Source organism: Homo sapiens, chromosome 21 (genome assembly GCF_000001405.40).
Source record: "Homo sapiens chromosome 21, GRCh38.p14 Primary Assembly".
NCBI classification, from domain to species: Eukaryota; Metazoa; Chordata; class Mammalia; order Primates; family Hominidae; genus Homo; species Homo sapiens.
This window is the reverse complement of record NC_000021.9, coordinates 17643716-17658914: the sequence shown is the minus strand read 5'-3', so window position 1 is coordinate 17658914 and position 15199 is coordinate 17643716.

The window sequence follows — 15199 nt, the reverse complement described above, 5'->3', positions numbered from 1 at the left end:
TTTGCCAACTGTCAAGATTTACACAGAAGTCATACAGTAGGTCCAGCAAAAACAGAAGAGCTGTACACCAAGGCTCATTTTTAGCACCCAAAGGGCATGCAAGCAAAAGCAGCTAGCTCTGGTTACTTTTTCCCCAAAGAAACATTCTCGAAGACTGGTGGGCTTTGAAGGTTCTAAGCATGGGCCTTGACTGGGTCCACCCGTGGCGTTTAAGAGATGAGCCGCCATCTTTATTTTGCAAGAAAAGTCAGTTTACAGTTAGAAAACAAGGAGCAGAAATAAATCATACCATTCCAGAAAAGGTACAAGCTGAAATGTAAGTTTCAAAATGTAGCCCCTTGTAAGGTTAGAATGGCTTACTCTTCCTATGACTCTGCTTATCCCCCTCGTCAGATATTCCCTTAAATATAATGGGCTTATGCCCAATCCCGTGAACATGGAGGTACAATCAATGGCACTTTTATAGCTAATCAGAATCTTTATGCTCAGGAAAATGTACAACTGTAGTCATTATTGATGACCACCCCTACAGTGGGAGAAGAGAAAAGAAAACACAGTAGCAATGATTATGTATTTAAGTCACACTAATACTTTATATTTTGTGCAGATTTGCCTAAATACCATAAATACTTCAATGTAAGATGACATTTCCCCTGAACATTTTTTCATACAAATAAAATGAATTCCCTTATATTGGAGTCTTTATAAAATCTATCCAGTTATAGGAGTCCTATTCAATTATTTTGAACAGCTAATTATATATGTATGAATATAAAGTGTAGTTTTTCCCATTTTTTTCTTAGAGATACAAGAATTCACCTTATATTTTAATCTGTACAAAATCTTTCCTGTTATGAGAGGCCTATCCAATTATTTTGAAAAGCTCATTGTGAGAAGACACGATGTTCTGATTCAGTCTCAATCAGTGCAAGTTTAAAATGCTTATAGGGATCAGCTGATGGCGTTGGTAAAAAAAGAAGACAAAAATATTTTACACGGATTTGTAATGATTCCTGGAGGTATGAATTCTAAATTATAACAGTTGGGTAACACTGTAAATGTTCCATTTAAAGGACAACTTAAAAAACAGTAGACTAAGTGATTATATTGGAAAGATTATAAATATAGATTCACATATGAAATAAACCAACGCTGGAGTAAAGATGGCTAAATGAACATATTCATTTGTGTTTTGAACCCCCACTAAAACATGATAAAGAGTTTTTTTTTTCCAGAACATAAAATTATAGGGACCAAAAATGAGGGAAGAGACAACAGCATCAAAACTTGGAAGTTGGGGCCAGGTGTGGTGGCTCATGCCTATAATCTGAGCACTTTGGGAGGCTGGGGCGGGATTGCTTGAGCTCAGGAGTTCGAGACCAGTCTGGGCAACGTAGTGAGACCCTTGTCTCTACAAAAGATAAAAGCAAAAATAAATTAGTCAGGCATGGTGGCTCACACCTGTAGTCCCAGCCACTCAGGAGGCTGAAGCAGGATGATTGCTTGAGCTTGAGAGTTCAAGGTTGCAGTGAGTGTGATCGTGCCACTGCACTCCAGCCCATGTGACGGAAAAAAGAAAAAGAAGGCCGGGCGCGGTAGCTCACGCCTGAATCCCAGCACTTTGGGAGGCTGAGGCGGCTGGATCACGAGGCCAAAAGATCAAGACCATCGTGGCCAACATGGTGAAACCCCATCTCTAAAAATACAAAAATTAGCTGGGCGTGGTGGTGCGCACTTGTAGTCCCAGCTACTCAAGAGGCTGAGGCAGGAGAATCACTTGAACCTGGGAGGCAGAGGTTGCAGTGAGCTGAGATCGCACCACTGCACTCCAGCCTGGTGACAGGGCAAGACTCCATCTCAAAAAAAAAAAGAAAAAAGGAAGTTGGAAAGGAAATAAATGAAAGAAAACTGATGTAGCATACAGAAAAAGTGCTGGCTCCCAAGATGGTAGGAGAAAAGCTGAGAAGCCATTGATTGCAACACAAGTCTTGGGAACTGGTAGTGCTAGGTGGCTCTGAAAATAAAATTGAAAAGAGCAAAAACAAACAATTAGAGCCTCAAGTCTCCTATCTACTTTCAAGAAAAGCCTGGAAATTTATTTTTTGGGCAAAGCTAACACAGAGGGTGCTGGGAGAAGTGAGAACTGCAATACTGAACAGAAAATTAGGATTAGGTAGATGTTGACATATTAAAAACTAAAATTCATTCATGCTAGCAATCAGGCCTAAATCTTCCAGAAAGGAGTTAAAAACTCTTTATCTAATGAATCCACCAAACTGGCTATAGAAAAAATTCAGAGATAGCCTAGATCTGTGTTGTCCGATGAAGTAGGAAGTAGACGCTTGTGGCAATTTATTCTAAAACTTAAAGTAATAAAATTAAGTAAAATTAAAACACCAGTTCCTCAGTCACACTAGTCACATTTCAAGTGATCAATAGGCACATGTGGCTAGTAGCTATAGCATCGGACAGTGCAAATATAGAACATGTTCAACATCATAAAAAGTTATATTGTTAGAGCAGGTAGCCAGGCAGACATGAGCAGGGCAGAAGAGGGTTGCCCCCCAACCCCGAGGAATGTCAGACGACCATCAGGTGATGGTCAGGCAGTTGTTAAAACTGTCTCTCTAAAATAATAATTGGTTGCAGCTGGTGCCAAGGAAATAGCCAGAAAATAGCTGAAGCTGTTTATCAGCAGGTTCCCAATAAAATATCAGGGGTTGGGCAAGTGGGCTCAAGCATGTGGACTGAGGCAAAATGGCAGGACATAAATGGTATATGACTTGCCTCTAAGTACGCTCGATTGGTAAGGGAAAAACACCTCAAGTGAACATGTGTACAACTTCAGTAAATTCACTGTGCATGCAGCCCAGCCCAAGTGCTGGCAAGCCACTGCACATGCGGAGGGCCCACCCCAAAGGAAGAGTTAGGGAAAAAGAAATGCAAATCCCAGAATCACAGCAATGTATAAAATCCCAAGTCAAGGGTCAGACAGGGCCCTTGGAGCTCTCAAGTTGCCCACTTGGCCCTCTTTCAAGTGCATTTTACTTCCTTTCATTCCTGCGCTGAAACTTTTTAATAAACTTTCACTCCTGCTCTAAAAGTTGCCTCAGTCTCTCAGTCTATCTTATGCCCCTTAGCCAAATTCTTTCCTCAGAGGAGGCAAGAATTGAGTCACTGCACACCTGTACAGATTTGCCACTGCTAACAATATTACATGACACTGACCTACACAGATATCCCCACAACAAAGTTCACAATCTCCACGTACACACTCTAAGTGAGCCATATTCTTAAATATATGCAAACAATGAAGGATCACTAGATACTTAAGACATCTAATACAAAAAATAGAAAACAAAGTTAAAGTGTAAGCAAACCAAAAGAACCAGAGATGACACAGAGGGAAGAAAATGTATTATCATTAATATCCTCAGGGAACTATGAGAAGATATTGTTTCCATGAAACAAGTATAGCCTGCCATAAGAAAAGGAATATCCAATAAATAAAAATATAAAAGATTAGATTCTTTAAAAATATAATGGTGAGACTAGAACGTGCTGAGTGAAAAGAAAAATATACGTAATGGCATAAATGACAAACTCAATAGAAGTTTCACAAAATAAAATTGGAGAAATCTTCCAGAAAGCAGAACCAAAAATAAAAAAGAGAAGAAAAAAATCAGAAACTTAGAGGACAAGTTCATAAGTTCAATATTCAAATAAGAGTTCTCAAGAAATAGAACAGAGAAAATAAGGCTGAGAAAATTATTTAAGAAGTATTTCAAGTGAGTTTCTCAGAACAGAATGACCTAAGTATTCTGATTAAAAGAGAATTCATAGTGTGCAGATGATGGCTAAGAGTAAACCATACTGAAGTCACATCATCACAAAGTCTTAAAACTGGGGACAAAGGCAAGCTTCCAAAGAGGAGGGGAAATGGTCACCTAAAAAGACCAAGAATCTGAATAGCCTTGGATTTTTCAGCAGCACACTGGAAGTTAGAAAAGCAACATCTTAAAAATTCTGAAAGAAAGCATTTCTCAATATAGACATCTGTATCTAGCCAAGCTATCAATTGAGTATGAGAGAAGAATAAGAATGTTTTCAGACATTCAGGTATCAAGAATTTTACATCACCTGCACCCTCTCTAAGATAACCACCTGGAGAATGTGCTTAAGTAAAGTCAGTGGGTAAACCAAGAAAAATGAAGACATGAAACCCTGGGGACAGGGGAGAGAGGTGAATGAAATGGCAGGAGTGTGGTCATAGTCAATTCCATGAATACAGCTGTGTGACCAGCTCTGAGATCAGCCTTTCCAGATTAAAACAAATTATCATCTTCGAGAAGGAGTGCATCAGGGGTATGCAACACCAGGAGAGATTTAGGCAATTGGCAGAAAGTATGAATTAGGATTATATAGAAAACTAATATAAAAATATTTAAGGACAGCTATTTAATTTAGAGAAAACCAGGCTTTAAATAGGAAAAACAATCATATTTGTATAAATCATTGTATTCTACAAGGCATAGTTGTGAATAGCATTTGCATCATCATCATCATCATACAATAATTTGTTACAACTTAAATAATAATATAACCACCTTAGAAAGATGGGGAGCAAAGAAGAATTCATGTGATGGGATGGGGGTGGAGTATAGATATGAGAAGTAAAGAGGAGTCACCATTTTCCAAAATGGGAAGCTATACCACTATTTTGTATCCATAATTAAGAATAAAAAATTTTAACAAAACAAAATGGGATGTAAATATTAATAGATAATGGCTGGGGAAAAACAAGACTGGAAATATTAGCACATTATTTAGAAACATCAAGGTCATATACCTGAGAAAGAAACAAAACAGGTAAGAGTTGAAAGTGGTTGATCCTGAGTAGAAAAAAATGGATCACAGGAGGTAAGGAGTATTTGGAATATTCTGTTGAATTATTTTATTTTTTAAACTTTGTGCACCTATAACTTTGATTTAAAACAAATGAAAAGCTGGGTCTTCATTAAACAGTATAATTCAGGCTGGGCACGGTGGCTCACTCCTATAATCCCAGCACTTTGGGAGGCTGAGGTGGGCGGATCACCTGAGGTCGGGAGTTCGAGACCAGCCTGACCAACATGGAGAAACCCCATCTCTACTAAAAGATACAAAAATTAGCCGGGCGTGGTGGCGCATGCCTGTAATCCAAACTACTCGGGAGGCTGAGGCAGGAGAATCGCTTGAACCCAGGAGGTGGAGGTTGTGGTGAGCAGAGATCACACCACTGCGCTCCAGCCTGGGCAACAAGAGTGAAATCCCCTTAAAAAAAAAAAAAAAAAACCAAAACAGAAAAACAAAAAAGGCAGTATAATTCATGTTAATGTAAAACATGGCTGGGAACATTTGCCTTCTTTAACAAATAGAATAGAGCCAGTCAACCTATATCAAAGTAGTTATTAAAATAAATGTAATGAATATGTCTACAAAGAATAGTTTAGTACTTTATTTTGCAAAAATGCATATATATATTTGATATAATTTAGTTTGAGAAGTTTAGCCAGTTTTTCTCATTTGTTTTACTTTATGGATGTCTATCTGGTTTTTGTTTGTTTTGTCTTTTTTAAATCTTTTTTTATTATACTTTAAGTTCTGGGGCACATGTGCAGAACGTGCAGGTTTGTTACATAGGTATACACATGCCATGGTGATTTGCTGCACCCATCAACCCATCATATACATTAGGTATTTCTCCTAATGCTATCCCTCCCCTTTCCCCCAAGCCCCTGACAGGCCCCAGTGTGTGATGTTCCCCTCCCTGTGTCCGTGTGCTCTCATTGTTCAACTCCCACTTATGAGTGACAACATGCAGCGTTTGGTTTTCTGTTCCTTGTTAGTTTGCTAAGGATGATGCTAAGCTTTATCCATGTCCCTGCAAAGGACATGAACTCATCCTTTTTTATGGCTGCATAATATTCCATGGTGTATATGTGCCACATTTTTTTTATCCAGTCTATCATTCATGGGCATTTGGGTTGGGTCCAAGTCTTTTCTATGGTGAATAGTGCTGCAATAAACATGCGTGTGCATGTGTCTTTATAGTAGAATGATTTATAATCCTTTGGGTATATACCCGGTAATGGGATTTCTGGGTCAAATGGCATTTCTGGTTCTAGATCCTTGAGGAATTGCCACACTGTCTTCCACAACGGTTCAACTCCCACCAACAGTCTCGTTTTTAAGGGGCTGAGCTTTTCTTATACATGGAAGGTTTGTTTTGTTTTGTTTAGCTTTTAAGCAAAGCTTTTCAGTTTGTAACTTGCTGAGTATTTTTCTTTTGAGAATAACTGGAGAAATATTGGCCACTGATTTTTATGTATAATACAGGTGTGTTTTTCCAGTTTGTTGGTTCCTGTCCCCTCTCTGTTAACTGTTTGACTATTGGAACAGTATGTCTTCAATAATGCAATGTTATTTTGAGATATGCATATTAGTATACCCTTAGTTATTCTTGAAATAAAATCAATCTCTTAGCTTATCGTTGCAGTGGAAAAAAATTGAAGAGAAAAAAGATGAAGAAAATCTAAACCTGCTGTCCAAATGTTGTGTGTTGGAGAAGATTTTCTTTCTCTCTGTTTATGAGATTTTCTAATGATAGCATCACAGACAAATTCCTTTCACCTTTAGTGTTGCTATCTTCTCTCTTAAGCTTCCCATAGGTTTTCTGTCTTACATCATGACTTCTGCCTCCAAATTCTTCCATTCAATTTACTTTTATGAAATTGAATGGAATTCAATTTCCCATGATTCACCTGCCTGTATTTCTTGCTTAGAGATATGAACCTAGTACTTCTAGATAGCTTTATAATTATAATATAAAATTCTTGAAAACTAGAAGTATGTCTTGTGCTTTAAAAACCTAGCACCTGATTCCATTTTTGCAACACTATGAACACATATAATGTGAATATTTCCTAGTGACAATTTATTGAGCACCTTCTATTATGGTGGTGATATAGTCACTCTACACAGGTCATTTGATTAAATGCTAGAAACAACTCTGCAAGGTGAGTACAATAATCACCATTTTGCAGATGAACAAATGGTAAGGGAAAGAAAAAGCAGTGAAAATTTCACCTTAGCTCTGAGAAAAAGAAGTATCACAAATTTTGTTTAAATCAAATTGAGCTGCGTCAGCAAGTAGGAAATTGCATTTTAATCATTTCTGGACTTCCCTCCTCCAATTCCACTTCCAGGTGACACAGAAATCGGGAGTAGAGATGTCTTCTTAGGTCCTAAATCCTGAAAGAAAGGTGTATGGCCTCCACTGGTCCTCACTGATATGCTTATTGTCCAGGCTCTCATGATCTAGTCCCTGAGGGAAGTGGTACTCACCGATAAGCTTGGACAAAGGTCTCTGACTTCTCTATCAAGGCAGTTCCTGAGACCAGGGCTCCTAGAGGTCTTCCCTTTGTCCTGAGGCAATCCACCCAACTAGGAGTTAACAAGCAGGACCTGGGGGCTACTTTCTTTGCAAACCACCCAAACTCCCTTCCTTCTTGTCTCGAGGAATTTGCTACCTGAAGTCAATTCTGCCTCCACCTCCCAGCACCCCCTAGAAGACCTCATCTTTCTTTTCCTCCACTCTACGTGATGTGGCATAATCCCTGCAGTAGGTCTAATCATCCAAACAAAACAAAACAAAAATGGAATGAAGCTGTTCTTGGGGAACACCTGCTTTCCATTCGACCATCCAAAGCCCCTGGAACACAATGGCGTGGCTATTTTCTTGGAATGGGAAGGGGGAAAATACCTTTGAGCAGTGAAAACGAAACACGTATCTGTGGAGGAAAACAAAAAGATGTATAACTTCCTATATTTTGTGGGGGCAGGGAATGGGGAGTTGGTGGTCAAAGGGCACAAATGTATGATTAGGAGAAATAAGTTTCGAAATCTATTGCACGGCAGAGTAACTACAGTCAGTATTGTATAGTATATTCCAAAATAACTTAGAGTAAATTTCAAATGTCTCACCACAAAAAAAAATTATAAGTAAGTGAGGTGATGGATATGTTAATTAGCTAGATTTAGTCACTTCATATTGTATAGATACATAAAACATAACATGGTGCCCCATGAATGTATACAATTATGATTTGTCAATTAAAAAAAATACATACATATATTTATATACTCCAATTTAAATACACATATACATATGTATATAAACATAAATAAGCAGGTATGTATATAATTATATTTATAACATATGCAGTTGAATGAATGTCTGTGAGAAAAGGAGATTTTCACTGTAAAAAAAGTTAACTTCCATTAAGAGAACCTGTCTCATCCTCTAGTCTTCTGCTATTGCCTTTGAACCACATTCCAAAGCCAGGGAAAAAACATGTTTACAAAACTGCAAAGGTCAAGGCCAGTAATGGAAATTGATTTTACATGCTCAGCTGAGTGTTTTTAGAACCATGGAACAGTCTAAGGGAAAGGAAATCTATTTAATTACTCGACAGTCTTTTGTAGTCCATTAAAAAGGCTCCACAATGGTCTACCTCCCCTGAACCAACTTAACATAAATCCCTCCCATTAAAGAAGCACTTCTTAGAAATTGCACAGAATGTGCCCTTCTGAAGAGGTGAAAACTCCAGAGGATGAACTCAAACTGGGAATAATGATTCCTACTTAAAGAAAAGCTGCTTCCTTTAAATGTTTTTAATGAGGCAGAAATTTTCACTTGAAGCTCCTGCCTGTTACCTGAGTAGCTGGTGTCTTTGAACTTGTATTTTTCTCCCTTCACTTTCTGTGTGATGAGATAATGGGCAAGAAATCAATAGCCTCTGCTTCAGGAGCAATTGTGGTGCATTTTTGACTTTGTTCTTTTTGAATTTCAGTCTACCGTGTTCAACACTAAAAACTGTCTCTACACTTCAAAGCAAATTCATGGTAATTTAAAATATGATTTTATTACCATTAACAATTAACTGCCTTTAAAATTTTTACTGTTTTAGATTGAAAGTAAAGAAGAAGAAAACAGTTTAAAATTGGATTTAAGGAGCTGTATATGTAAATGACTACTTGATAACATGAGGAAGTATGCTTACCCCCTGATAGGTCAGGGCTCAAAAGAGTCTCCTGGGACAATTGTTCTACAGCTATGTGATGTCAGACTTCTAAAGATCACTATGTTCATTAGATGATCAATTCAATTAATTCTGTTTAATTATAGTTACTGAATAAGTGCACAGTTAAGCACTATTGTTTGAAATTTGAATAGTCTTTCCATATCAACAGTAATTAATTACTGATGCATTAACTATACAGTATCTATTCTAGTGGTTTCTGCTACCACTATATAAATTTGAAATAAATACTATTTCAAATTAACTTATGATAGTCTCTCCCTACACTAACAAGATTTCATTTTATCATAACTGTTATATCAAGGTCAATATTCACTTAATGCTACTTCTACCTTTGTTATTTTTGTTTTTCAGAGGCAGGGTCTCACTTTGTTGCCTGGAGTGCAGTGGCTATTCACGAATCATTGCACACTAGAGCTTTGAACTCCTGGGCTCAAATGATCCTTCTGCCTCAGCCTCTCAAGTAGCTGGGACTACAGGAGTGCTCCAAGCCCCCCTACACTACCTTCCTGTCCTAACTGAAATTTAGCTTTCTCCTGATTTCTTCCCTTGAAGCCCATTTCAGTGACAGCCACTTCCTTCTACTAGTCTTAAACCTGCAAGAGAGTCACCATTTTCTTCTTCCAGAGTACAGCTTCCAGTCTTTTCTTAAAACAAACAAAAAACACTCTGAATGATTTGTACTGATCTTTTGAAATTCATGTATTTGTTTACACTAGCTAGATTCACCTCAGCCAATTATCCATGACTTTCAAAATAGTTTGGAATTCCTAGGTCAGTTTTATTCTCCAATATGACACTGAAAAATGGTTCTCTGAAAGATATTCATGATCTAATCCCTGAAGTCTATAAATGTCACCTTATTTGAAAAAATGTCTTTGCAGATGTGATTAAATAAAGGATGTCAAGTTGAAGAGATTGTCTTGGATTATCTGTGTGATCCCTAAATGCTGTCACGTGTGTCTTTATAAGAAAGAGGCAAGAGGAGATTTGACACACACGGAGAGAAAGCAATATGAAGATGGAAGAGAGAGAGAGATTTAAGGTGCTGGCTTTGAAGATTGGAGTGATGTACCCACAAGCCAAGGGATTCTGACAGCTACCAGCAGCTGGAAGTGGCAAGAAACGGATTGTTTTCTGGAACTTCTGGAGGAAACATGGCCCTGCCAACACCTTGATTGCAGCCCACCAATGCTAACTTTGGACCTCTGGCCTCCAGAAGCATGAAAGAACAAATTTCTGTTGTTTTAAACCAAGTTTGTCGTAATTTGTTCTAGTAACCGTGGGAAACTAATACACTATCCTATTCTTTATTTTCATTCTCTAAGACTTCACCATCCATATTGTACCAAGAAGTCATACGGAAAACTAAGATTCAGAAAAGCCCACAAATAGTTTCAAGAACAGGGGAGTGATCAATATCTTTAAATATTATGAAAAGGTTAAGATAAAGGTTTTAAAGTACCTATTAGATTAGACAATTGAGAAGTCTTTAGTGACCAAAAAAGAATAGTTTCAATATGGTGATGGAGGTCACATAAGAGACCCACAATAAGAACTGCCCCGCCGTGCTGTCAGTACACAGACTCTTGAAAGAAAAATAAATTTTGTTTTAAGCCACTACATCTTGGGTTATTTTGCTACTTAGTCAGGGCTAATCAGAATATGAAAGGACAGGGAATTAAGATAATTTACACTATTTTCTCTTAGCTGGGGAGACTGCTAAATGATTTGGAATGATTAATTTGAGGAATGAAACAAAAAATTCATCAGGGACAAGTAGAAAAATGGTTAAGCAGTGTTGAGGGCCCAATTTATGTCATAGACCCTAAATCTTTGATAGCATCAGCCCTCTTTATAATTTTCTCTAGTAGAGCTCAACAGATTTATCTAGGGTTGGAGGTGGGCAATGCAGATACACAGGGAAAACAAGGGCCAAGGGAGAAGAGGGCCAAGGGAGAAAAGTGGTTCTGGCCAGGCACGGTGGCTCATGCCTGTAATCCCAGTATTTTGGGAGGCCAAGGCAGGCGTACAGCTTGAGTCCTGGAGTTTGAGACCAGCCTGGGCAACACTTTCTCTACCAAAAATACAAAAAAAACTACTACTTGGGAGGCTGGCTGATGTGGGAGGATTGCTTGAGCCCTGGAGGCAGAGGTTACAATGAGCTGAGATCGCACTACTACACTCCAGACAGAGTGAGACCCTGTCTCAATTTTAAAAAGGTAGTAGTCAATCAGTGCCTAGGAGCAGAGCTGACTGATACTTTACACATAGTAAGAATGGAACCTGGGGTTCACTAGGCTTCTGGGGCCCACAAAAATGTTTTATTTTATTTTTAGAATCAGAATAAAAAAAACTTTCACACCAAAAAAATGTTTTTATGCATAGTAATATATTTATCTTTATAAGGTAATCATAAAATGTACCTTTTAATATTCTTTTATGGAGGAAGGGGCCCCAAAAGGCAAAAGTGCTTACGTAATGATGTGGCCCTGCCTAGCAAGGGCAGACATATGAGAGAAAAGGGAGATTTGAAACATCTGAGGTTTAAATGAAACTATTACAAATATGTAACAGAACTAAGAGAGCAAGAGACCAAGAAGGATAAGAGATTATGTTGAGGGAGTGAGAATAATAGAATGTGAGAGTTTTACAGTTTTAGAAATGGAGAAGCATCACACAAGGATAAGACACTCCAGGATGTTGTCATGAGAGGTGAGAAGGGAGGTGGTTGTCTGAGCAGAGGAGATCCGGGAACATGGTGGGTGGGGTTTGTGTAGGTGACGTCAACACTGAAGTGATCCACGATCGAGGCAAGAGTTGGAAAGAAGACTAGGATTTCAGGTGGACCAATGATTTGTGTTAAAAAATAAAAAATAAAAAAAAGATGGAAGTGTTAAAATAATTTTTAAAAAATTATCCAAAATAGAACAAGTATAAAGTATGATATAAAATATAGATAGCAAAATGAAGAGATTTATAAACTAAACGACATGCAAATAAAATTGTTCTGCATGACAAACACCAAAATGACAATTCAACAAACTGAGAAAAAATTATTGCAACTCATATTTTAGTAGAAGTCTATTTTCCTTACTATGGAAAGACTTGCAATAAAACGATAGGAAAATAGGCAGGGGAGATGTCCAGGAAAGAAAGTACAGTGTTAAACATTTGCAAAGATGCTCAACTTCACTCAACATAGGAAAAACATAAATTAAAATTTCAATGAAATATTTTCAATTATGTTCTTGGCAAAGTAAAAAAAAAGTGTAAAATATTATGTTAGCAAGGCTAATGGGAAACTGGTTCTTTTAAACGTAGTTAATGGGTATATAAATTAGTGCACAGCTCATGCAGTATAATTTTTTCAGTATCTATCAAAACTTTTAAAAAGCAAATAACTTTTGACCCAAATAACTTGTAAAAGTAAAAGGTGACATCAGTAGAATGTTATTTATAGAAGCCTTGTTTGCAATAGCAGAAGACTAGAAACACTAGAATGAATCTAGTTGTTCATCAGTAGGGGACAGGTCAAATAAATTATTGAACATCCACATAAAATATTATGCAGTAATATTTCTAAAAGAAAAGTTTGTATGCATTGATAAGAAAAAGCCTTTAAAATATTTTGTTTAAAAAAAGAAAGGTTTTAGAACAGGATATATAATTTTCTACCATTTGTTTATCTTTAAGAAACCAAAAATTTATATAAACATGCATTTATATGTGCATATCTATGCATGTGATTATATTTGCACAAAATACCTTTAAAGGATATCCAAAAGCTGGTGATAAAAGTTGCTTCCAAAGTAAAGTAATAAGAGACTGGAAGACATATAGGGAAGGCCATTTTCATTTCATATTCTTTTTGATGAGGAACCACTTGTCTTAGTTCTAATTGATTGTGGAAGTGACCAGATTAGTTGATGCAGGGTAGTGCATGTTAGACTTAGATGTCATACAACCAAGGAAAGAGGGCTTTTTGGATAAGATTGTAGAGTTAAACTTTGGAAGTGACCATGAAGGTCTAAGTCACTATCATCTCCTGGCCCAGAGATACAGAAAGGAAGAATGGCCAGCTTTTTCAGAGAAAACTGCCAGAGAAGTGATGACATCAAGGAAAAGCCAAATTTCCATTAGGACAGGAACATAGTAAGTTCTGCAAAGACACTGCGGATGTCATAGAAAATAGAATGAAATTTCTAGAGAGTAGTAGAAGAATTGTGAGAGAGGTCAGCCATCGGAAGTGATAGGAAGATGACCCAGAGAAATGAATCACAGAGCAGGATGGAGAAGAAAATACGAAGGAGAGAGACCGCTGAGGAGCCTGCATTCCAGACCTGAGGGTGACAGACATGAGAGACATGAAAGGAATTAATAGCCAATAAGTTTCTGTGGTTTTGTCATTTCACCCTGGGCTCAGCTGCCAGGTGACCATTTATGTTAGTCTGTGGCCCAGTCTGTAAGTGCTGAGATTGGCTCTGGCTAGATCCCACATGCTGTCCACTGTTTTGACTATGGCTTTTATTCTACAGATTCTTTGCATAATATCCCTGTATTAGGCCATTCTTGCAATGCTATAAAGACATACCTGAGACTGGGTAATTTATAAGAAAAGAAGTTTGTCTCATGGTTCTACAGGCTGTACAGGAAGCATACTGGCATCTGCTTCTGGGGAGGTCTCATGAAGCTTCCTGTCATGGCAGAAGGCAAAGGGGGAACAAACATCCCACACGGCAGAATCAGGAGCAAGAGAGAGAGAGAGCAAGAGAGCAAGAGCAATGTGTGTGGGGGGGAGGTGCCACACATTTTTAAACGACGAGATTTCATGTGAGCTCAGAGTGAGAGCTCACTTATTACCAAGGAGATGGCTCAAGCCATTCATGAGAAATTCACCCCCATGAGCCAAACACTTCTCACCAGGCCCCATTTCCAACACTGGGGATTACATCCCAGCATGAGATTTGGAAGGGACATCTGAACTCTATAAGTTCTTCATGGAAAAAGAATAAAATCTATTTCTGTGCTGCCACAGCATTTAACCCTAGGTAGTGTTCGCCACCCACATAAAAGGCCTTTCCCCCAACCTCATCATTGCCCTGACATTGCACTTTCTGATCTATTTTTTCAACATTTCTTATCACTCACTGCACTTGACTGAATGTTTATGTCCCCCAAAATTCATATGTTGAAGCCTAATCCCCAATGTGGTAGTATTTAGAGGTGGTACCTTTGGGAGGTGATAAGGCCATAGGGAGAAGCCCTCATGAATGGGATTAGTGACCTTATAAAAGGGACCCTAGAGAGCCTCCTGACCTCTTCTATCACATGAGGACACAGCAAAAAGGCAGCATCTATGAACCAGGAAGTGGGCTCTCACTAGACATCAAATCTGCCAGCACCTTCCTCTTGAACTTCTCAGGCCCCAGAACTGTGAGAAATAAATTTATGTTGTTTATGAGGCAACCAGTTTATTCTGTTATAGCAGCCTTAATGGACTAAGGATATCCACTATTACTGAATTTGATTTTGCCTCTGGTCTTACCATTGTCTTTCTTGGAGAATCTAAAAAAGACTAGAAAGAAAAATAAACTTTAGAGATCATCTTTCCTAGTTGTCCTCAACCCTGGCTATCTAATAGAAATCACCTGACATGCTTTAAAAACATAGATATCCAGTTGACATCTCCTAATCTGATTTTGTTGTTCTAAAATAGGGACCAGGAATAATATTGTATAAACATCCCCAGGCAATTCTATGCATAGCCAAGGTTTTTAACTGATTTACGTCAACACTTTTATTATGAAGGTGAAGGGACAAAGTCAGCCATCTAGAAAGTGGAACTGGAATTGGAACCTAAGTCTCCTGGTTCTCAGTCTATCCGTCTGGTGTTCATTCTTCTGTATCACGTTGCTTTGAACCACTGATTCTTCCCTCTCTCCTGGTTTCACTTGGCTCTTTACCCAACTGTGAAGCAACAATCAAAGATATTAAAATGTGAGCAGCATGACTTTCTCGTGTTGTCCATCTCCCAACACCTGTATAAGCCCAGC